Raw genomic sequence first — 23,993 nt, forward strand, 5'->3', positions numbered from 1 at the left:
AATATTTTAAAGTAGTAAACATAGAAAGGCATTCGCCTACAGAATTCTAATGAGCATATTCGTTATTCACTGATACTCTTTTGATGGCTGTGCATTTCCTTTCCAAAAACACAATATTTTTGTGAAACCAGTGGTAGTATTCGACCCTGGCAATCAAGATTGTGTAAGGAAATGGTAAACATTTTTTGGAGAAGAGTCTCCCGCACCTCACAGGCTTTTAACAACAATTTCAAATAGCATATTTTAAAGAACTCAGCTCTGGAGTCTGCCTAATTATTAACTTCTACTTAGAGGCAGCTGCATTCTTGAGGGTGGAGCCATGATCTTCTTTTACTGTGATCCTGTTTTATTCCTTTAAATACTCAGCACAGCTGAAGAAGAGGTCCTGTTTTCTTACTGAAGACTTTCAGGCAAAGGAGCCGTTTCCAACTTCCTACTAAGTCCACCCAGCATATGTCATGCAGGGGATGCGGGGAAGAATTTTCCTTGCAAGGGCCTTCTCAGAAGTTTTGGAGATGGGCCTTGAGCTCTTGGCTGGAAGCGTGGTTTTCCAAAGTGGAGGCTGCAGTAATGCTCGTCATTGATTGAGAGACGTGCTGCCGGGGCTATTTTCATGGGAGTCAAATAAAACTCTCTTGTCTTAAGCCTGCTTTGAAAGGTGTTTTCCTAATGATTTTACAGTCAAATAGAATGACTGTGTGGGAGAGTGTATTAAATAACTGGAACACTCTGGGCAGCTTCCCTTCCCCACCCTGTGCCCCTACTTGCCTTTCCCCCAAAGCTCCTCCTCCTCCGGGCACACACATGCCGCTCTGTTTTCTGTTCTGGAGCTGCCTGAATTGTGTGATTTTTGTGGATGAATGTGAACTCTTTAATCCAGAAAGAGGTGCCAGGAACACAAACAGCCCGGCTAATTGGCATTCACCCCTAGGGAAAGTAACATGGCCAACAAGCTGGTTGCATTATCTCCATGAGGCACTTACTTAATTAACTTTGAGGAGAAACCTCAAGCTCTCTCAAATCACCCAAGAAGCATTTCGAAAAGGAAGAATTTGCCAAGAAAAGGCTATATTCAGGAGGTGTTCCATCTCTTGAGTATGTTGGATTAGTTGCAGAAATACTTACTTAAGGCAGCTTATATTTTTGTTTAATCTCTTTCTGAGCTGCTTATGATTTCAGCGTACTGAGAGGAATTTTCAAGAATTGATTTATATTGAAGAACTCACATTTCAAAATATCAGCAGTTTTGTTGAAGTATTTCTCAGTTGTTTTTGTGAAAGTATTGCCAACCCTGACTGAAGGTCTGACTTCCAACAACTTGTTCCATATGAAGATACTGACTTCCTCAAAGGCCTGTCTGCTGCTGCCTCCTCAGACAACAGAGCAGGTTGTCTAAACCATGGCACTTCCACCTCCAGCTTTGGAAGGCCTCTGCTAGAAGACATTTTCTCATAAGTAGTGCAGATGGTGCCCTAGGAGCTGATGAGCTTCCTGTTTATTCAGTAAGCGTTGCAGGAAATACAAAGAAATGTCAGGTGACCAAATGTTCTGGGGTCACCAGAGAAGTTCTTAACATTCCCTTACTAATGGAAATGAGAAAAATCTGTAGATTTTCAGCTATCTGAGGAACAATTTTTGTCTTTAAATAATCCTCTCCCCTCTTCTAATTACTAAAAGTGCAACCAACAGGTAGCAAAAGTGATATTTGAGCTTCATCCTTCTTTTCTTCTGTCCCCGTACCCTCACCTTCTAGTGAAATTACTCAGAGACTATGAAGAATAGGGATTGGAAGAAATTGAGAGCTCATGGTGGCAGGATAGCCCACAGACCATATGTGTCTCTGAATAAGGGAGAATTTGATAAGTAGAATAAGCCATCAGAAAAAAAAATTTTCAAATAGTGATTCCTCTTCAAAACATTTTACATATTTTCTCTAATATAATTATTAGAATAAAATCATTGAAATTTAGTATTAATTGAAACCTCTCATCAGATTTTTATATTGTGTTACATTGTGTTATATTGTGTTCAAGACACAATATTCATTTGGCTTTAAGAGACTGCACTAGAATGTAAAATCCACAAGAGCAGAGACAGTGTCTGGTTCCTTTCAGTGCTTTATCCCTTGTACCTGAATGGGACCTAGTTCAGGTACTCAGTCAACAATGAATTGTAAAATGAAAAAATCTAAATACAGTGGAGGCTATTTGGTCTGCGGGCTCTTCTGCCCTTGGGTTCTCAATTTCTTCCATTTTCTGTTCTAACATGGAAATGGAAGTTACACTAAAAGTAATATTTAAAGGAATCTTATTTATATTGCTTAGCTTCTTTCTCTCAAGTAATTTCTAGATCTTAAAGCACAGATTTAAAATATTAATTATTAAGCTAGAAGTAGAGACTTTGAACTAGTTGGCTGGTATTTTCTAAATTAAATTTTAAAATTTTGAGATAATTATAGATTCATTCACATGCAGTTGTAAAAAGATAATACAGGCAGATTCCTTGTACTCTTTACCCAATTTTCCCCCATTGTAACATCTTGTGAAACAGTAGTACAGTATCATAACCCAGATATTGACATTGATTCATTCAAGATACAGAGCATTTCCATCATCACGGTGATTCCTCAGGTTGCCCTTTTATAGGTGCACTCACTCCCTCAGCCCCACCTTGGGAAACTACCCATCTGTTCTCCATTTCTATAATTTTGTGGGCAACTTATTTTTAGAAACATTTCTCCAACAGCTGGCCCCTGAGAAGAAAAGACCATTTAACACATATAGGGTTGATGCGTTTTGTAGGTGGAAGCCAGGTATTTATAGATGCATGTCGTCAGTGTTGCCTGGTGTTGCTGTGCCAGGAGTCAGTGTGGGGTCCTGAAATCCAGATTACTGAGGTGTTAGTACTGTAATTATTCTTACCAGAAAATGCCCCAGCCAAAAGTGGATGGAATTTTCCCACCTGAATTACAATACCTCCACAAACCAGGCCAAGAAGTGTCCTCAGTGGCAGAGCATTTCTAGCCTTTCCGTGATGCTCAGATAGTCAGATAATGTCTGTAATCCCTAATAGCTACAGAACAGATGAGGGAAGGTGTCCTCTCTACCTGTCAACTTGTGACTATTTACTGATGAGTACTGGGACTTTGAACTCCCCTTTTCTCTCTATCTCTGAAGCTTATCTTTGCTGCTGTGCAGTTCTTTGCCCCTGTATTGCGCCTGGAGCTTCTGGAATGCCACAAGATGCTAAATAGTTCCTACCTTTTCCTTTTCTTACCATCAATCTGACTTAATTATCTGATGGTGTCACTATAGAAATAAAAGCCATTGGCATTCTTAAACAAGCAGCTGTGCTGTTAGAAGAATCAGGAGTCACCTGATATTTACAGCTATTTGGGCATTGTGTTACAGTTGCTTGTATTGGTAGCTCAGCCAGCCCAAACATATCTCTTTTAGAACATGAGGTAATAAAGCCAGTACATAAGATATTGGAGGAAATTGTAAGTTTGTATGGATTGAAATTGTTTCTAACAGCCTACCTTTGGCATAAATCAGCTGTACATCTTTAAATTTTTTAAATTACATAAGTTAAATGGTATGGCTTAGAAGTAAAATTTTGGCAAGAGATTTAGTATTTCAGACATTGTATGTTGCACTTATTTTTAATTAAATTGTTTTAATTATTTTGTCATCATCTACAATCTTAAGTTTCATAATAAAAACCATTTTTACTTTATGGCTATAAGAGTTGATACACAGAAAGATTTAATGGACTCGTAAAGCCATGTCCTGATTGGGTAGTAATGAAGGAATGCACAGATTTCTAAGCTAGCTCCCTTCCTTTCTTTCTTTAATTTTTCTTTCTTTCATATTATGCCCAATTTTAACCTTGTTTGCTAGCTGAGGAGTTGCTAAGAATTTTAATGAACTATCTGGGTGTCTAATGTTCTTATTTATAAACTTTAATTAGCCAGTTGAATTGTGAAGAGAATGGAATGTGTGGTTTTGGGCTTCTGGGATGATATGCAAAATAAAATAGTAAAAAAAGAAAGTTTACTGAGAGGGGCAATATGAAATGTGTTAGTCATATTTGTATCTGATCTTTGTAATTTATCTGATTATTACCATGGGTACTCCATATACATGTATGAAGATGTAAAGTTTTTCATTTTCAGCAAATGAGTTCCTTTTTTTTTTTCCTTTTACTTTGTTTTCTTTTTGGAGACAGAGTCTCGATCTGTCACCCAGGCTGGAGTGCAGTGGTCTGGTCTCGGCTCACTGCAACTTCCGCCTCCTGGGTTCAAGTGATTCTCCTGCCTCAGCCTCCTGAGTAGCTGGGACTACAGGTGCATGCCATCATGCCTGGCTAGTTTTTTGTATTTTAATAGAGATGGGGTTTCATCGTGTTGCCCAGGCTGGTCTTGAACTCCTGAGCTCAGGCAATCTGCCTGCCTTGTCCTCCCAAAGTGCTAGGGTTACAGACGTGAGCCACCGTGCCTGGCCAAATTAGTTCCTTTTGTTACCTAGCCTCCTTTGTCAGTTATCTATGCATTAAACGGTTTTCAGTGCCTGGTCTTCAGCATTGGATTGGATGATGGCTGATGGAAGAAAAAAAAACAGTGGTTATACCTTGGAATTTAGTTTTCAGTTACTGGTGAATTTTAGATCCAAGGAGACTACTAAACCTGGCTCAGTTATTTTTGGACACCAAAACATAATTTTATTGGAAAGCGAACACACTCTATCAACCAATTTTAAATAAAAAAGGTCTTTTGAATCAGCCAGAAGTTAAAATGTGAGCATTGTGTTCTGAGCTGAAGATGTCAGGTTATGTGAGTACTTGTTCTCTATAGACTAATATAGTGAGCCTTGAAATATAGTATTAGACAACTGCTTTCTGATTATCTTAGTACCCTAAATTGAGAGTTTCAGTTTGCTTGGGTTTCAAATTACTTAAATGAGAAATAATATTAACACTGGCCCAACTAATGAAAAATTATGCAATTGCCACTAAGCCCCATGAGGGTGGAGACTTTGTAGGTCTTTGTCACTGTTGTATTTCTAGATCCTAGAATAGTTTCCTGACACATAAGAGACACCAATATCAATTACTGAATGAATGAATAGGATAATAGATTGAGAAATTATATAAGGTCTTAGTCTTTTTTGCAGTATTTCCCTTGGGAAATAAAATAAAACTAAAAATTTATTTATTCTGTAGGTAAAGAACTGGGCTCGCTATGGTAAGACATTATATAAGCATAAATAATATACTTTAAAAAGATGCCTCAGCCACATTCATACTTGCCCTCTTCTAGATATTCTCATCTTTGATAAAATACAAGGATTCCTAAAAACATAATTTCCTGAATCTCAAAACAAAGCAGGTAGGGTGCAAAGCCAACATATTTGAGTGCTATATACTAAAAGTTTATATATGGGTGTGTACATATGTATATACACACACACACACACACACACAAAAGATCTATAACAACTGTTTCCCATCGTACAGGTGAGAAGGTAAGCTCAGTTACTTGGAGATGAAGGCTGATTTTGAATCCAGGTCTGACTCCAAAATTCATGCATTTGACACCATGTTATTTACTCTGAGTACTACAGTTTAACATCTGCGGTTTACTTCACAAACTTCTTGAAGGAGTTGTTCGCATTTACTGTTCCCAAATTGTTACTGAGGTTAATCTAGTGAATACTTTTCAGTTTTATATTACCTGTCATTTTTGGTACCATTTGATACTGAAGGTCTTCTTGAAGGTCCCACTTGAGATCCTATCTGCATTTGGTTTCTAACTCCTGGTTTCCTACTTCTGACCACTCTTGTGGGGTTTCATTAAATTTGTAAACTATTTGGTTGGGGTGGAAATGACATCTTACCTATATCGAGTTTTCCCATCTGTAAACATGCATAGCTCCCCTTTTAAGTCTTTTAAAAATGATTTTCAATAAAGTTTTAAAATTTTCTCCATAAAAGTCCTAGATACTATTTGTTATCATCATAAATATTTTTTTAATAACTAACAGTTCTAATAATGTGTTGTAGGTGTAAATAAACCGAATTTTTATATATTCTTGTATCAAGCAAGTTGCTGAATTATTTTCAATAGTTCATCTGTATGTTCTCCTAACTTTAAAAGAAACTTTTTATTTTGGAATAATTTTAGATCTACAGAAGATTTACAAAGACTTTACAAAGTTCCTCTATACCCTTCACCTAGATTTCCCTAAGGTTAACTTTTTTTTTTTTTTTTTTTTTTTTTGAGACAAGATCCTGCTCTGTTGCCTAGGCTGAAGAGCAGTGGCCCAATCATGGTTCACTGCAACCTCCACCCACCCAGGCTCCAGTGATTCTTGTGCCTCAGCCTCCCAAGTAGCTGGGATTACAGGCATATGCCACCACGCCTGGCTATTTTTTTGTATTTTTTGTAGAGACAGGTTCTTGCCATGTTGACCAGGCTGGTCTCGAATTCCTGGCTTCAAGCAATCCACCCACCTTGGCCTCCCGAAGTGCTAGGCTACAGGCGTGAGCCACTGCACCCAGCCTTACTTCTTACATATCTGTGGCACCTTTGTCAAAACTAAGAAATTGATACTGGTTACAACGCTGGTTCTAAAGTATAGATTTATTTGGATTTTGCCGCTTTTTCCACTAATGTCCTTTTTCTGTTCCGAGATCCAATCCAGAATATCATGGTGCATTTAGTCCCTTGATTTTTTAATGGAGAAAATGGTACTGTCTGCAAATAATAACTGTTAGATACCTTAGTTTCCAAGTATTGTGTGTGTGTAGGTATTAGGTGTGCATATACGTATCTTCCTGCACTAGCTCGTACTGACCACTCCATCCAGGCTCTTCTTGCTCTACATCCTATACTTCTCCCATAAATGTTGGTGCTTCCTTGGATTATGTCCTTTGCCCTTTAATCTGCGCTGGCTACACACTTTTGAGAAGATCGCAGCCACTTTACATCTCCCTGTAGGGATTAGGCACAGCCTGCACTCCCAAGGCAGCCACTGTTAGCTCTGATTATTACCTCTTTATTTCTAATAGATTCCTTTTTTGAACTCTGGATTCATATAGCTGACTGCTTTCTGGACATCTCTGTCTGAATTTTCCACAGGCATTGCAATTTCACTGTGTCTGAAGGGAACATATATCATTGTCTTCTCTTGCCAACTTTCCCCTCCTGCTGCTCCAACCACCTCCAAGTTATCCAAGACAGAAAAACCTGGGACCTATTTCTGAACTATTTGCTTTATTCTTTCCTCCCTTCTTCTCTCCTTCCTTTTTGCCCTCTTTTTACCTCCCTCCCTTCCTTCTCCTCATAGCCCCTGTGAATCCTGCTTCCTTCATGTCTCCCGTATTTGTTACCTTCTGTCCACTCCCACAGTTGGTGCTTCCTTGGATTCTGTCCTTTGTCCCCACTGTTTCATTAAAAGCTCTCATTCTTTCATGCTATTACACACTACCAAACTCCTTAACATAGTATTCAGAGCCTCTGGTATCTCCAGCCTCATTTAGTCCCCCATACCCCCTTCCACAACACACACATACATACCCCTACACTCCATGCTACCTAATTGCTGGAAGTTCCTTAGATGTGCTAGGCTTTCTCTCCCTTTCTCCTTTGGAAGTTATATAAGATGCTTTCTTTTTGTTCCCGTTCTTTCTTTTCCTTACTATTGCTAATTCTTTCAGTCTCCAATCATTTGTCACTGCTTCCAGGAAACCTCTCTGTTCAGGCTGGGTTAGATGTATTCTCTGAGTGCTCTCAAAGTAGCCTGTGTATATTTTTCTCATGGCACTTACAGTATTGAGCTTTAGTTATCCGTGTACCAGTCCTCATCGCCTCAACCATGCTGTATGTTCCTTAAGGCTAAAGACCAATGTTATATTTTCCTTTGGGCTTCCTATTGCTTAGCACAGTACCTGGCACATAGCTGTTACCCATAAATGTTAATTGAATTAATGAGTAAATGTATTCACCATTTATGGAAACACTGACTTGTCTGTTTCCAAAAACCATATTCTTTCACCAGGGACAGATCTCTCTAAATATCAGCTTCCTTATTTCTAAATAGGGAAGGTGTACTGGATGATCCCTTACACTGCTGATAAATTGGTATTGTATGATTCTAAGATTCATCATCCTGGGGCATATACAAAAGAAAATGATGTGGATTGTGGAAGATATTCCAAAATAGGAGTTCCAAAATATTTTAAGCAATGGTGGTAATGTTGAAATAATAATTTGGCTTTTTGGTCCTACTGTTTAACTAATGTGTTGAGTGCCAATGATCTGAACACTTGAACATTTAAGTGATTTACTTATGGTGATCAGAGTTTCTATTCCTTTGCTGACATATCTAAATCATTTTAGAAAGATTGTGTCAATTCTCCTTTGCTGAAGATTTTCAAGTCAAAGTTGGACAGTTGTTTGTCATGGATATTGTAGATGTGATTTAAGATATAATTGTGTAATGATAAGGCTAAGTGACCACTAAGATTTTGCTTTATGATGAGATGCTTCAATTTTGTAGTTTAGAGCTTTTGCTTTTATGTTACAATATTTTAAAAAATTGAATTTAAAGCTTGGATAACATACTATTTATTTGTCTAAGTTTAGGTCTTAGTGGATTTAATATCAACATTAGAAAGTTACCAGAAGTCTATGTTTATCAAAATTGTTGACTTCCATGCATCCAAAAACTGACTCTAGGGAGTCATCTCCGGCTTGTTAAAATGAGCTGGGTTAAGTCAGTGTCTAAAGTCCAATTTAGAAAGGTCTCTTAGCACAGCCTTTTAAAAAATTTATAAAAATGTAAAATACAAACACAGAAAATCACGTTTAAAAATTTGTACTTTAGGGAATTATTCCTATGTGAACATTCTTATAACTGTTGCTCAGGTCATAAAACAGAACTTTGCCAGCCACCTCAGAAGCGTTCTATGCCCTGTCTCTATCACAGACTGTCTTCCCCAATGAAAGTGTAGACTTATTTCAGTCACTTCTTTATTTTTCTTAATAGTTTTTGTCATAGAAATAGGTATTCTAAAATAGTCTACTTTAGTTTGGCCTTTGAAAATATATGAATTTTTAGCTGTTTTCATGTCATGTCTTCCTTCCATCCTTTTTTCTCCCTTGCAATTACTTGCTAAAGAAATTGGATTGTTTGATCTATAGAGTTTCTCAGCCTGGGTTTTCTTGATTGCTCTAGGTGTGTAGGACTTAAGTGTTTAGAACAGGCATGGCTGTTTCATGCCTCAGTCCTGGAATGACATTCTACCCAGAATATCATTCTCTTTTGTCTCTCCCTTGCCAATACCTTGCTCATGTGGTTATCTTCTATCTATACTCCAAAACTTAGCTCAAAACTCACCCCTCCTAGAAATATTCCCAGCCTTTTCATTTAATAATGGATATGTCCTATTCTGTAGTCTCCTAGCACCTGTAAAAAACTCCAGTATGACACCAATCACATGGCTGCAATTCTTTCTTTTTCTAAAAATATATATGTTTAGAGATGTATTGGAAGGAGTTGGCTTACACCATAGTGGGGGCTGGTGAGGCAAGTCTGAGATCCATAGGCAGGCTGGCAGAACTGGCAGGCTAGAATTCTCTGGCATAGGCTGAAGTGGCTGTCCACAGGCAGAATTTCTGCTGGGAAGCTTCAGCTCTGCTCATAAGGCCTTTCAACTGATTGAAACAGGCCTGCAACATTTTCAAGAATAATGTTCTTTACTCGAAGTCAATTGTTGAAACAGGCCTGCAACATTTTCAAGAATAATCTTCTTTACTGGAAGTCAATTGATTATGGACTTTAATCACATTTACAAAGTACCTTCACAGCAACACATAGATTAGTGTTTCATTGAATTACTGGGGACTGCAGCCTAGCCAAGTTGATACATTAAAAAAAAATCACACTGCATCTTTTGATTTTCTTTCTGAATCTCTGCTTTTCTTTTTCCTAATTTTGGCCTCTGTAAACCTTTCATTTTTTTCATGCTTTAGCATTGTGAGGGACTTAATACTGGGATATTTTTTCACAATATCTTGTTCACCATCTTACCTGTCACTCTTTTCCCTGAGGTACTTTGATCCAACAGACATTCACTCGATTCTGTTGTGTGTCGGGCAGTGTGCCACTGCTAGGGATACAGAAATGGATAAGGTATAGTTCCCTACCCTCAAAAAGCTCACCGTCAGTTGGTGGGGGACAGACAGGTATGGTATAAAATTACTGTGAGTGGTATAAAATTACCTGAAGGCATAAAATATCCAGCTAGTGTTAAAATTTTCCTGATGGTCTCATATTTTCTTTACAGTTGGTTTATTCTCCATCAGAAGTTGAACAAGGTTCACATATCCCTTTTGGGTGATACGTCTCCAAACTCCCTTTATAATTGAGAAATTCTCTCTTTTTCCTTGAACTCATGAATGTGCGTATTTTCAGTCATGTTTAATATGATGCACAGTTGGTATTTTTATTCTAGATTGCTTTAAAGTTTTAACAATGCTAACATTGTTACATATGGATGTAACAAAGTTAACTCCCTTTTTAATTGAGAAATTCTCTCTCCCTCCTTGAACTCACTCATGAATGTGCTTATTTTCAGTTGTGTTTAATATGACACACAGTTGGTATTTTATTCTAGATTGTTTTAAAGTTTTAACAATGCAAACATTGTTACATGCTTATTATAAAGGTAACATGCACAACTGAGAAAAAAATTTAAATATCACAATGCATGTGGAAGTAAAATATCATTTTTATCTCATTATCCCCAAATAATTGGTAACCCTTTGGGATTGTTTCCTACTAATCTGTACATATTCAAATGTACAGTTTTTACATATTAAATATTCCCTGTGCTATTACTTTGGGTTTAATTTGCTCTTATTTTTCTAGATCATAATGTAGAAGCTTAGATTTTTATGTTTTGTTTATCTAATACAAATATTTAAAGCTGTAACTTTCCCATTAAACATGCTGAGTTTTCATTATCATAAAACTAGAAATATTTTCTAAATTTCTTTGTGATTTATTTTCTCTGTTTTTTTTTGTTTGTTTGTTTGTTTTGTTGTTGTTGTTGAGACAGGGTCTTCTCTGTCATCCAGGCTGGAGTGCATTCGTGCTATCTCGGCTGACTGCAACCTCCGCCTCCCAGGCCCAAGCAATTCTTGTGCCTCAGCCTTCTAGGTAGCTGGGATTACAGGCGCATGCCACCATGCCTGGCTAATTTTTTTTATTTTTTGTAGAGTGGGGTTTTGCCATGTTGGCCAGGCTGGCCTCGAACTCCTGATCTCAAGCAATCCACCCATCTCCCAAAGTACTGAGATTATAGGCATGAACCACCACGCCTGGCCTTCTCTGTGTTTTATTTGGAAATGCATTGCCTAATTTCCAAATATTTGGGGATTTTCCAGATATCATATTGCTAACATTTCTACTTTAATACATCATATGATTTCAGTCATTTCAAATGTATTGAGGCTTGTTTTATGGTCAAGCATATAATTTATTCTTGGGAACGTTCTATGTGCCCTTGAAAAGAATGTAGATTCTGCAGATGTTGGGTGTAGTGATCTTTAAGTGTCATTTTGGGCATATCTGCATGCAAAAGAATGAAGTTGTGCCACATACCACATACAAAAATTAACTCAAAATGTATTAAAACCTAAATAGAAGGGGTAAAACTAAAACTTGGAGGAATGCATAGGTGTAAACCTTCATGACCCTAGATTAGGCAGTGATTTTTTAGATATGACACCAAAAGTACAAGCAACAAAAGAAGAACATTGATAAATTGGACTTCATGAAAATTTAAAGTGTTTATGCTTCAAAGGACAACATCAAGAAAGTGAAAAGAGGCCGGGCGCGGTGGCTCATGCCTGTAATCCCAGCACTTTGGGAGGCCGAGGCGGGCGGATCACGAGGTCAGGAGATCGAGACCATCCTGGCTAACACATGAAACCCCGACTCTACTAAAAATACAAAAAATTAGCCGGGCGTGGTGGCGGGCGCCTGTAGTCCCAACTACTCGGGAGGCTGAGGCAGGAGAATGGCGTGAACCCAGGAGGCGGAGCTTGCAGTGAGCCGAGATTGCGCCACTGCACTCCCGCCTGGGTGAAAGAGCGAGACTCCGTCTCAAAAAAAAAAAAAATAAATAAAAGTAAGTGAAAAGATACCCCACAGGATGGGAGAAAATATTCTCACATCATATGTCTGAACGGGATTTGTGTCTAGAACATATAATGAACTCTTTCAACTCAATAATAAAAAGACAATCTAAAAATGAATCAAAGATCTAAGTAGACAGTTCTTCAAAGAAGGTAACCAAATAGCCAATAAGCACATGAAAAGATGCTCAACATTATTACCCATCGAAGAAATGCAAATCAAAACCACAGTGAGATATTACTTCACACTCAACTAGGATGCCTATAATTGAGAAACAAAAACAGACCATAACAAGTGTTGGCCTGGATGTGGAATAATTGGAACTCTCATATATTGTGATGAGAATGTAAAGTTGCATTGGAAAACAGTCTGACAGTTCCACAAATGATTAAACATAGAGTTACCATATGACCCAGTAATTTGACTCCTAGGTATATACTCCCCCCAAAAGAAAACATGTCTACACAAAATCTTGTCTACGAATGTTCATAGCAACGTTATTTACGTAGCCAAAAAGTAAAAACAGTCCAAATATCCATCAGCTGCTGAATGAATGAATCAAAGTCTAGCTATACAATGGACTATTATTTGGTGATAAAAAGTAATGAAGTACTGATACATGCTACAACATGCATAAACCTTGAAAACATTATTCTGAGTGAAAGAGGCAGTCACATTTTGTTTATATGAAATGTCCAGAATAGACAAATCTATACAGACAGGTTGCCCAGGGTTGGGATGAGTGGTATTAGGGACGTGTAAAATGACTGCTAAAGAATGTAGGGTGACGAAAATGTTCTATAATTGATTGTGATGGTTGCCCAATGCTGTGATTATAGTAAAGCACATTGAACTGTATGCATGTTTTAAATGAGTGAATTGCATGGCATGTGAATTATACCTCAATAAGGCTATAACAGGTAAAACAAACAAAGGAACCATGGGTACCAACAGTTCAGAATAAGTGCCTTCGATATTACTTAGTATTATGGTGTCTTTGGAAAAGGAATTTCTCAGATGGAGTTAATTGATTTGAACAATTCAAGACCAGTAGGCAAATTGCCATAGATGGCTTCCCAAGCTGGCAGTTAATTTTTTTCTGTTAAAAATATATATTTTTTTAATTTTTTAGAGACAGGATTTCACTTTGTTGCCCAGGCTGGTCTCAAACCCTGGGCTCAAGTGATCTGCCTGCCAAGGCCTCCCAGAGTGCTGGAATTACAGGTGTGAGCCACTGTGCTCAGCCACAATTAATGTTTTGGAACATAGTTTTCAAATGACTATATTAGGAGGATGAAGTCTTAGGTAAATGAAACTTACCTGATTTAAACAACAGTATCATTTAAATCACGATTGGTAATGCTGTTCACACCTTCCATATTCTTAATGATTTATTCTCTTGTCAGTTTTTGCTTCAGATATTTTAGAGTTCTATTATTAGCTGCTAAACATTTAAGATGATTATGGTGACCCTGTTTATTTCTGGTTATACTACTTGCCTTCAAAGCTATATTGTCAGATATTAATATAGCCAGATCAGCTTTCTTATACTGAAGGTCTGCATTTTACCCATTTTTTCCACAGTTTTACTATTAACTTGCCTAGTAAATTAAGGTGCTTTTCTTGTAAACAACATAGTTAGGTTTTGTTTTTTCATCTTGTTGACAATTGTTTCCTTTTAGTGGTGTGTTGGACATTTATATTCAGTGTTATTATTGATATGGTTAGTTTAAATCTGACATTTTGCTATTTTTCTTTTTTTAAAATTTCTTCTAAAAAAATGGGATACATATGCAGAACGTGCACATAGGTATACGTGTGCCATGCTGGTTTGCTGCACCCATTGACCCATCCTCTAAGTTCCCTCCTTTCACTCCCCACCCCACAACAGGCCCTGGTGTGTGTTGTTCCCCACTCTGTGTCCATGTGTTCTTATTGTTCAACTCCCACTTACGAGAGAGAACATGCGGTATTTGGTTTTCTTTTCCTGTGTTAGTTTGCTGAGGGTGATGGCTTCTAGCTTCATCCATGTCCCTGCAAAAGACATGATCTCATTCCTTTTTATGGCTGCATAATATTCCACGGTGTGTGTGTACCACATTTTCTTGATCCAGTCTATCATTGATGGGCATTTGGGTTGGTTCCATGTCTTTGCTATTGTGAATAGTGCTGCAATAAACACACATGTGCATGTGTCTTTATAGTAGAATGATGTATATTCCTTTGGGTATATACCCAGTAATGAGATTGCTGGGTCAAATGGTATTTCTGGTTCTAGATCCTTGAATTGCCGCACTGTCTTCAACAATGGTTGAACTAATTTACATTCCCACCAACGGTGTTAAAGTGTTTCTATTTCTCCACAGCCTTGCCAGTATCTGTTGTTTCCTGACTTTTTAATAACCACCATTCTGACTGGTGTGAGATGGTATCTCATTGTGGTTTTGATTTGCATTTCTCTGATGATCAGTGATGTTGAGCTTTTTTCCTTATGTTTGTTGGCCATGTAAATGTTGTCTTTTGAGAAGTGTCTGTTCATATCCTTTGCCCACTTTTTGATGAGGTTGTTTTTTTCTTGTAAATTTGTTTAAGTTCCTTATAAATTCTGGATATTAGACCTTTGTTAGATGGGTAGATTGCAGAAATTTTCTCCTATTCTGTAGATTGCCTATTCACTCTGCTGATAGTTTATTTTGCTGTGCAGAAACTCTTTAGTTTAATTAGATCCCATTTGTCAGTTTTGGCTTTTGTTGCAATTGCTTTTGTTGAGGTCTCTGCTCTGCTCCATTGGTCTATATATCTGTTTTGGTACCAGTACCATGTTGTTTTGGTTACTGCAGCCTTGTAGTATAGTTTGAAGTCAGGTAGTGTGATGTCTCTAGCTTTGTTCTTTTTGCTTAGGATTGTCTTGGCTATACGGGGTCTTCTTTCATTCCATATGAAATTTAAAATAGTTTTTTCTAATTCTGTAAAGAATGTCAATGGTAGTTTGATGGGAATAGCATTGAATCTATAAATTACTTTGGGCAGTATGTCCATTTTCACGATAGTGATTCTTCCTATCCTTGAGGATGGAATATTTTTCCATTTGTTTGCATTCTCTCTTATTTCCTTGAGCAGTGGTTTGTAGTTCTCCTTGAAGAGGTCCTTCACATCCCTTGTTAGCTGTATTCCTAGGTATTTTATTCTCTTTGTAACGATTGTGAACGGGAGTTCATTCATGATTTGGCTCTCTGCTTGTCTATTGTTGGTGTAAAGGAATGCTTGTGATTTTTCCACATTGATTTTGTATCCCGAGACTTTGCTGAAGTTGCTTGTCAGTTTAAGGAGTTTTTGGGCAGAGATGATGGGGTTTTCTAAATATACAATCATGTCATCTGCAAACAGAGACAATTTGACTTCCTCTCTTCCTATTTCAATACCCTTTGTTTCTTTCTCTTGCCTGATTTCCCTGGCCAGAATTTCCAATACTATGTTGAGTAGGAGTGGTGAGAGAGGCATCCTTGCCTTGTGCCAGTTTTCAAAGGGAATGCTTCCAGCTTTTGCCCATTCAATATATTGGCTGTGGGTTTGTCACAAATAGCTCTTATTATTTTGAGATATGTTCCATCAACACCTAGTTTATTGAGAGTTTTTAGCATAAAAGGGTGTTGAATTTTATCAAAGGCCTTTTCTGCATCTATTGAGATAATCACGTGGTTTTTGTCTTTGGTTCTGTTTATGTGATGGATTACATTTATTGATTTGTGTATGTTGAAACAGCCTTGCATCCCAGGGATGAAGTCGACTTGATCGCAGCGGATAAGTTTTTTCATGTGTTGCTGAATTCTGTTTGCCGGCATTTTATTGAGGATTTTCACATCAGTGTTCATCAGGGATGTTGGCCTGAAGTTTTCTTTGTTCTGTCTCTTCTTGGTTTGGTATCAGGATGATGCTGGCCTCATAAAATAAATTAGGGAGGAGTCCCTCCTTTTCAATTGTTTGGAATAGTTTCAGAAGGAATGATATCAGCTCTTCTTTGTATTTCTGGTAGAATTCAGCTGTGAATCTGTCTGGTCCTGGGCTTTTTTTGGTTGGCAGGCTATTAATTACTGCCTCAATTTCAGAGCTTGTTATTGGTCTATTTAGGGATTCTTCTTCCTGGTTTAGCCTTGGGACGGTGTATGTGTCCAGGAATTTATCAGTTTCTTCCAGATTTTCTAGTTTATTTGAGTAGAAGTGTTTATTGTATTCTCTGATGATAGTTTCTATTTCTGTGGGGTCAGTGGTGATCTCCCCTTTATCATTTTGTATTGTGTCTACTTGATTCTTCCCTCTTTTCTTCTTTATTAGTCTACCTAGTGGTCTAATTTGTTAATCTTTTCAAAAAAACAGCTCCTAGATTCATTGATTTTTTTGTAGGGTTTTTCGTGTCTCTATCTCCTTCAGTTCTTCTATGATCTTAGTTATTTCTTGTTTTCTGCTAGCTTTTGGATTAGTTTGTTCTTCCCTCTTTAGCTCTTTTAATTATGATGTTAGGGTGTTGATTTGAGATCTTTCAAGCTTTCTGATGTGGGCATTTAGTGCTAAAAATTTCCCTCTTAATACTGCTTTAGCTGTGTCTCAAAGATTCTGGTACATTGTCTCTTTGTTCTCGTTGTTTTCAAATAACTTCTTCATTTCTGCCGTAATTTCATTATTTACCCAGGAGTCATTCAGGAGCAGGTTGTTCAATTTCCATGTAATTGTGTGGTTTTGAGTGAGTTTCTTAATCCTGAGTTCTAATTTGATTGCACTGTGTTTTGAGAGACTGTTATGATTTCAGTTCTTTTGCATTTGCTGAGGAGTGTTTTACTTCCAAATACGTGGTCGGTTTTAGAATAAATGCCATGTGGTACTGAGAAGAATGTATATTCTATTGATTTGGGGTAGAGAGTTCTATAGATGTCTACTAGATCCACTTGATCCAGAGCTGAGTTCAAGTCCTGAATATCCTTGTTAATTTTCTGTCTCATTGATCTAATACTGACAGTGGGGTGTTAAAGTCTCCCACTATTATTTCATAGGAGTCTAAGTCTCTTTGTAGGTCTCTAAGAGGCACACCCCCTCCACCAAGAGAGAAAGTGCTTCATCAAACTGGTCCTATTACCCGTGCCACCCAATTGGGTGAGACCCTCTAACAGGGGGTTGTCAGACACCCTATGCAGGAGCGATCCTACTGGCATCAGGTTGGTGCTCCTCGAGGTCAGAGGACACAGAAGAAGCAGGCACCCATCTTTGCTGTTCTCTAGCCTCCTTGAGTAACATCTCCAGGTGCAGGAGCAAATCAGATAGAATAGGGCCTAAAGTGAACCCCCAGCAAACTGCAGAAGCCCTCAGAAGAGGGACCTGACCATTGAAAGACAAAAAAAAAAAAAAAAACTAGCAGAAAGCAACAACAACAGCATCAACAACAACAAAAAATCCCCCACAAAAACCCCATTCAAGGGTCAGCAGCCTCAAAGACTGAAAATAGACAAACTCACAAAGATGAGAAAGAAATCAACGAAAAAATGATGAAAACCCAAAAGGCCAAAGTGCCTCTTCTCCTCCAAATGATCGCAATGTCTCTCCATCAAGGGTGCAGAACTGTATGGAGGATCAGATGGACGAATTGACGGAAGCAGGCTTCAGAAGATGGGTAATAAAAAACTACGCTGAGCTAAAAGGAGCATGTTCTAAACCAATGCAAAGACGCTAAGAACCTTTATGAAAGGTTAGAGGAATTGCTAACTAGAATAACCAGTTTAGAGAGGAACATAAATGACCTGATGGAGCTGAAAAACACAGCATGAGAACTTCGTGAAGCATACACAAGTATCAACACCCAAATCAACCAAGTAGAAGAAAGGATATCAGAATTTGAAGACCACCTTGCTGAAATAAGGCATGCAGACAAGACTAGAGAAGAAAGAATGTGAAGGAATGAAGAAAGCCTCCAAGAAATATGGGACTTCATAAAAAGACCGAACCTACTATCGATTGGAGTACCAGAAGAAGACAGGGAGAACAGAAACAAGCTGGAAAACACACTTCAGGATATTATCCAGGAGAACTTCCCCAACTTAGCAAGACAGGCCAACATGCAAATTCAGGAAATACAGAGAACACCACCAAGATACTCCACAAGAAGATCAACCCCAAGACACATAATCGTCAGATTCTCCAAGGTTGAAATGAAGGAAAAACTGTTAAGGGCAGCCAGAGAGAAAGGCCAGGTCACCTACAAAGGGAAGCCCATCGGACTAACAGCAGACCTCTCAGCAGAAACTCTATAAGCCAGAAGAGATTGGGGGCCAATATTCAACATTGTTACAGAAAAAAATTTTCAACCCAGAATTTCATATCCAGCCACACTAACCTTCAAAAGCGAAGGAGAAATAAAATCCTTTCCAGACAAGCAGATGCTGAGGGATTTTGTCACCACCAGGCCTGCCTTACCGGAGCTCCTGAAAGGAGCACTCAATATGGAAAGGAAAAACCGGTACCAGTCACTGCAAAAAACACACCAAAATATAAAGACCAATGACACTATGAAGAAACTGCATCAGCTAGTGTGCAAAATAACCAAATAGCAGCATGACGACAGAATCAAATTCACACATTTTGCTATTTTTCTAATTATCCTATCTGTCCTTTACCTTCTGTCTTTCCCTTTCTGCCTTCTTGGGTTAATTGAGTAGTTTTAAAATATTTCATTTTGCCCTTATAACTCAGCTGCCAAATGTTTGGGTTGGTGGGGAGCTAACCTTGCTCTTGAACTGTACTCCTGGCTTTCCACATCTTGGAAGATCTCTCTTTATCCTGCTGGTCATTGGCTTTGCATTTGGTGAAGGCTCAGTGCTTCTCAGAAGGATCACTTTCAGCCCTTTGACCTGCTCCCAGCCTTCAGTGGACTGCTGCCTTGCATTCTGCAAAGGCCCAGTGTACTTGAAGAGGATCTCTTAGCCCTTCTGTTCTGTTCCTAGCCTTTGGTGTGTGGTACTTGTGCACTGGGTGGAAGCTCTATGGGAAAGAACTGGCAGGTGGATATGGAGTTGCTCTTTGATCAGGGCTCTTCAGAATTCTAATTCCTCACATCAGCAGCTAATAAAAGTTTCTTAAAAATTCAGCTGGTTTCTTCGTGGTCCCATTTTTGGCAAGTTTATTCCTCCTTCTATCAGAGATGAAGCAGCTATGCATCTCTTTTTTGGGAAGAGGTCATCTGTATATCGAATTTATTTAGGAGATGAAGCAGCTATGCATCTCTATTTTGGGAAGAGATCATCTGTATATTGAATTTAGTTTATTTAGGTTTTTTATGCATCTCAGCTCAGATAGTTTTTATAGAAAATCTATGATTTTGTGACTTCCTCAACTTCTTGTTGTAGACTCTGGTTATTTTTAAAACTTGTAATTTAAAAATTATATGCCAATGGAAACACTCTTCAAGAATCTTACATGTAATGCTTATTGCTTAGTGGTTTAATGAATGACAACAATCCCTGAGTGTGGGAATAGTTGAGGTCTACAAAAGGTTAATGAGTAAATGAATTATGTTTACTTTGGGTATTGAGTCACTGGTACTGATCTGGCCATACACGAATATCCCTAATCACCCTCATGACTAGTAATACACATTTATAAGATGGTGGACCAGAGCTGGGCTAGCGTTGATTGATAAGGGACAGAAAGAAAGTATAGCGATTGATTATTCAGCCTTGCCTCATGGGCATTTGTACATCCTTATGAGTTAAAGTGAGATGCAAATGCATTCTTCATTAAAATGGCTTATCTGAATCATTTTAGAGCTGTATGCAATAATTTGCTTATACTCATTAAGATAAGTTTGGTTATGTTGATTAAAAACAAAGCTTATTTTCTGCATTTTCCAATAATATTGTAAAAAATACTTCATACCCTTCATTGTTTGGGTTTCATGTCTTCATTACATTCCTTTTACTTCGTATTATCTTTTAAGATTTTGTAGAAGAATTTCACTTGGGTAACTGTAGGCTTAAATGATGCAATGCTTTCTGGAATCCAGGGGTGACTGACACACAGAGGTGACTCAGACATGAAATGTTCAACAAAATTCTAAGATTGTCTTTTTTTTAAATTGTAAATTCTTAAACATTCATAAAAGTAGTGAGATTAGAATAATGAAATCCTGTGCTTCTAATGACTGTTAACACAAGTGAATCTTATTTATCCTATCCACTTTATTAAAAATTTAGTTATCTATTATTTAAAATAATATATTAGCTTATTTTAAAGCTAATCCCAGATATTATGTTTCATTTTGCATGTCTGTTGCTGTCTTGGTAGGAAAAATTTTAAAACATAAATTACTATGACATAATGATATCTAACAAAGTTAATTATTTAAGAAACTTTCAAAAGTTGCTTTTTCATGCCGTTTCCCTAGCTACCTATAAACACCTGGAAATTATATTTATTTTATATTTCTAATGTTATTCAAATGATAATATGCTGATTTCTAAAATTGCATTTTTTTCTGTTGCTCTCAAGAATATCCTAAACATATCCATAGGATGTGGGATGACCTATGAAAATAGTCTGGACAAACATTTATCTTGTTTATCTTATGATAAGCAGAGTTCTGAGAAGTTTGGTAATAAAGAGTTAACTTGGTTTAACTAAGATTTTCCTAAATTATTTGACACCAGAACCTATTTTTTATTTAACATCTGTTAGCAAAAATATATTTGGGGGAATATTGTTCTAGGCAGGAGAATGCTGCCTCTGAATAGCAAAATAATCTTTACTTCATTTTTATTTCAATTAATTAGGTAATTATTTGTCCATATTACATTATCATCATAATTAAGTAATTTTTTTTTGTTTTTCTGTAATCTGCTTAATATTGATAATGTGGTGTGACAAGTCATCTTTCTCAGGATCTTATTTTATGAAAATCTTTCATCACACTTATTTTATGAAAATCATTTGCTGTGTAAGCAAATTAAGTATAAGCATTTTGTGTTTCCACTAGATAGATATTTGCACACAAAAAAATAGACATCAAAATCCCATATAGAAAGCTAAATGCATCTATAGTTCATTGAAGAGGAAGCTAGAAATAAGATGTGTAGAAGTCAAAGAAATAGGGCCGGGCGCGGTGGCTCATGCCTGTAATCCCAGCACTTTGGGAGGCCAAGGCAGGTGGGTCACGAGGTCAGGAGATCGAGACCATCTGGCTAACATGGTGAAACCGCGTCTCTACTAAAAATACAAAAAATTAGCTGGGCGTGGTGGTGGGCATCTGTAGTCCCAGCTACTTGGGAGACTGAGGCAGGAGAATGGTGTGAACCTGGGAGGCAGAGGTTGCAGTGAGCCGTGATTGTGCCACTGCACTCCAGCCTGGGTGACAGAGAGAGACTCCGTCTCAAAAAGTCAAGGAAATACAGCTCAAATTATAACAGTGAATAACTAGATTTTGTTTCATTTGTGAAGAATTGGCAAATAACTTTTAAATAGTTTCAACATAGGCAGTAGCATGGGAATTCTCCTACACTTTTATGTACCCTTAAAATATGTTCACTTTAAAAAATGTAAATAGTTAACAGGGGCGATTGAAAGCTAACTGCCCAACAAAGGAAACAATTCTCCGTGTGTCCCCCTTCTCTGCTCACCCTGTGACACCTTCTCTGCTCACCCTGTGACACAGGAGCGACAAGGAACTCACAAGGCACTGGTGCCCTAGTAGTTCTGCATCTCATCCTCTCTCATACAGTTTAGTTGACATCTGCTCCCTGTCACTCACCCATACCCCCAACCTCACCAATCCTCCAAAGTGGATTAGTTGTTGCTTAGGTGTGTTTTGTCTTTATATTGCGTAAATATTGTGAAGAAGGCTCTTTCCTCTGTGGTGCTACAAAGATAATTTTTTTTCCCGTTACAGTCAAGCTACAACTTCAAGCAGAAGAGAGAGGAGTTGTGTCTATCAAAGGAGTGTGTGCTAACCGTTACCTGGCTATGAAGGAAGATGGAAGATTACTGGCTTCTGTAAGCATACTTTCTGTTTTCACACGTTTTTTGTTAGCTTTTATTGCTGTTAATTTACCAGCATTGTTGTTTATCAAATCTTTATAAAGGATTTTACGTGTATCATCGTCATAGTCACCCTGTAAAATAGGGAGTATTTTCTTTATTTCACAGATGCAAAAACTGATGTGCTGAGGGAGTAAGTAAAGTAAGAAAACACAGCTCATATAAAGTAGAGACTGGATTGGGCTGGAGGCATTCCTGACCTCTAAGTCACTGCTTTTACTCTGCAAAACTATTAAGCTATAATTTAAAAAAAATTTTCTTCTATTATGCAGTTGTTTGAAGATCATTGGGAATAAATGTATACAATTTTGATTATTAGTTTTTAAGTTTCTTCTTTAGAATGTGACGTACAAAACACTAGCAATGTAGAACACTAGTTGAGAATGTAAGCTTTCTGCCTGGTACAGATGCCGACTCTGCCACTTATGAGCTCTGTGTTCTTGGGCAAATGATTCTGAGTTAGTTCTCTTACCTGTAAAATAGAAACAATGATACTATCTCATTGGGATTTTATCAGAATTTAATTAGATACTACACATCAAGTGCCCAAATCAGCATCTGACACGTAATAGATCCTGAAAATTGTTACTTCTTCCTCACATTACTTCTCATTTACATATATGTCAGGAGAGGGACTTTTTTTTTTCTTTTTTTTTTTGAGATGGAGTCTCACTCCACTGCGCAGACTGGAGTGCAGTGGCGTAATCTCGGGTCACTGTACCCTCTGCCTTCTGGGTTCAAGCAATTCTCCTGCCTCAGCCTCCCGAGTAGCTGGGATTACAGGAATGCACCACCATGCCTGGTTAATTTTTTTGTATTTTTTAGTAGAGACAGGGTTTCGCCATGTTGGCTGGGCTGGTCCTGAACTTCTGACCTCAGGTGATCCGCCTGCCTTGGCCTCCCAAAGTGCTGGGATTATAGGCGTGAGCCACCGTGCCTGGCTGTAGAGAGGAACTTTTCTTTTTTACATGTTATCACAGCTTATCAGGGGTCCTAGTTCCTGGCTAGTATTCTTTCCACTAGTACAGGCTCCCTGTCAACTTCACCATTATTATTAGAAACGGGACTGCATATCTGTTGAACATATGATGTATAAAGAATGGTGCAGGAAAATAAATATAAAAGACAGATCTCATTCCTGTCTCCGTGAGGGAGTAGATAGGACATGTATGTAAATGTTTGTGCGTGTGTGTGTTTCACAGCTCTTACACCAATGCCACTGGCCAGTTATGACATCTCTATATAACCTCCCCACAGAAAGGATCTAACAGTACTAAGAAATTGTGGTATTTTGAGCTATACAAATAGTTTTTGAAATTTCTTCTGAATGAAGACCTTTGGATTTCTAAAAGCACCAAAACAAGGCTTACAGAGAAAAAGGGTATCTAAACTATCCCAATTTCAGACTGACTGTATGACAAAGATATACTTACATTGATATTACCAGTTTATGTAATTTTTGCAGGATAAATCACAAGTTTGAGTGTAGTGGCTCTCAATTTTGGGGGGAGGTAGTTGAATAAATTTTAGAATTCTCTTTAAGAATAGCCAATACTTATTAAGTGAAAGTGTGCCAGATGCTATGGTAGGCATTGAGCTTATAAAATTGAATATCAAATTGTCTCTGCCCTTAATGAGTGACAATCCAGGGGAGGCAGAAGTGTAAATAAGTATTTATAATAATGTATAAGGGTTTTGATATGCTACTTCTATATTTTG

General features: G+C 37.8%; 1 protein-coding gene across 2 annotated transcripts in view; it reads left to right on the forward strand.

Annotated features, from left to right (window-relative positions):
- The window catches only part of FGF2 (fibroblast growth factor 2), a 71,555-nt gene that overhangs the window by 27,514 nt on the left and 20,048 nt on the right, over positions 1-23,993 (forward strand). For both annotated transcript variants that reach the window (NM_002006.6, NM_001361665.2), the window contains exon 2: positions 22,126-22,229. In NM_002006.6, the coding sequence (NP_001997.5) occupies positions 22,126-22,229 (104 nt within the window). The remainder of the gene's footprint in view (positions 1-22,125; positions 22,230-23,993) is intronic.

This window comes from Homo sapiens, chromosome 4, assembly GCF_000001405.40.
Source record: "Homo sapiens chromosome 4, GRCh38.p14 Primary Assembly".
In the NCBI taxonomy this organism is placed as follows: domain Eukaryota; kingdom Metazoa; phylum Chordata; class Mammalia; order Primates; family Hominidae; genus Homo; species Homo sapiens.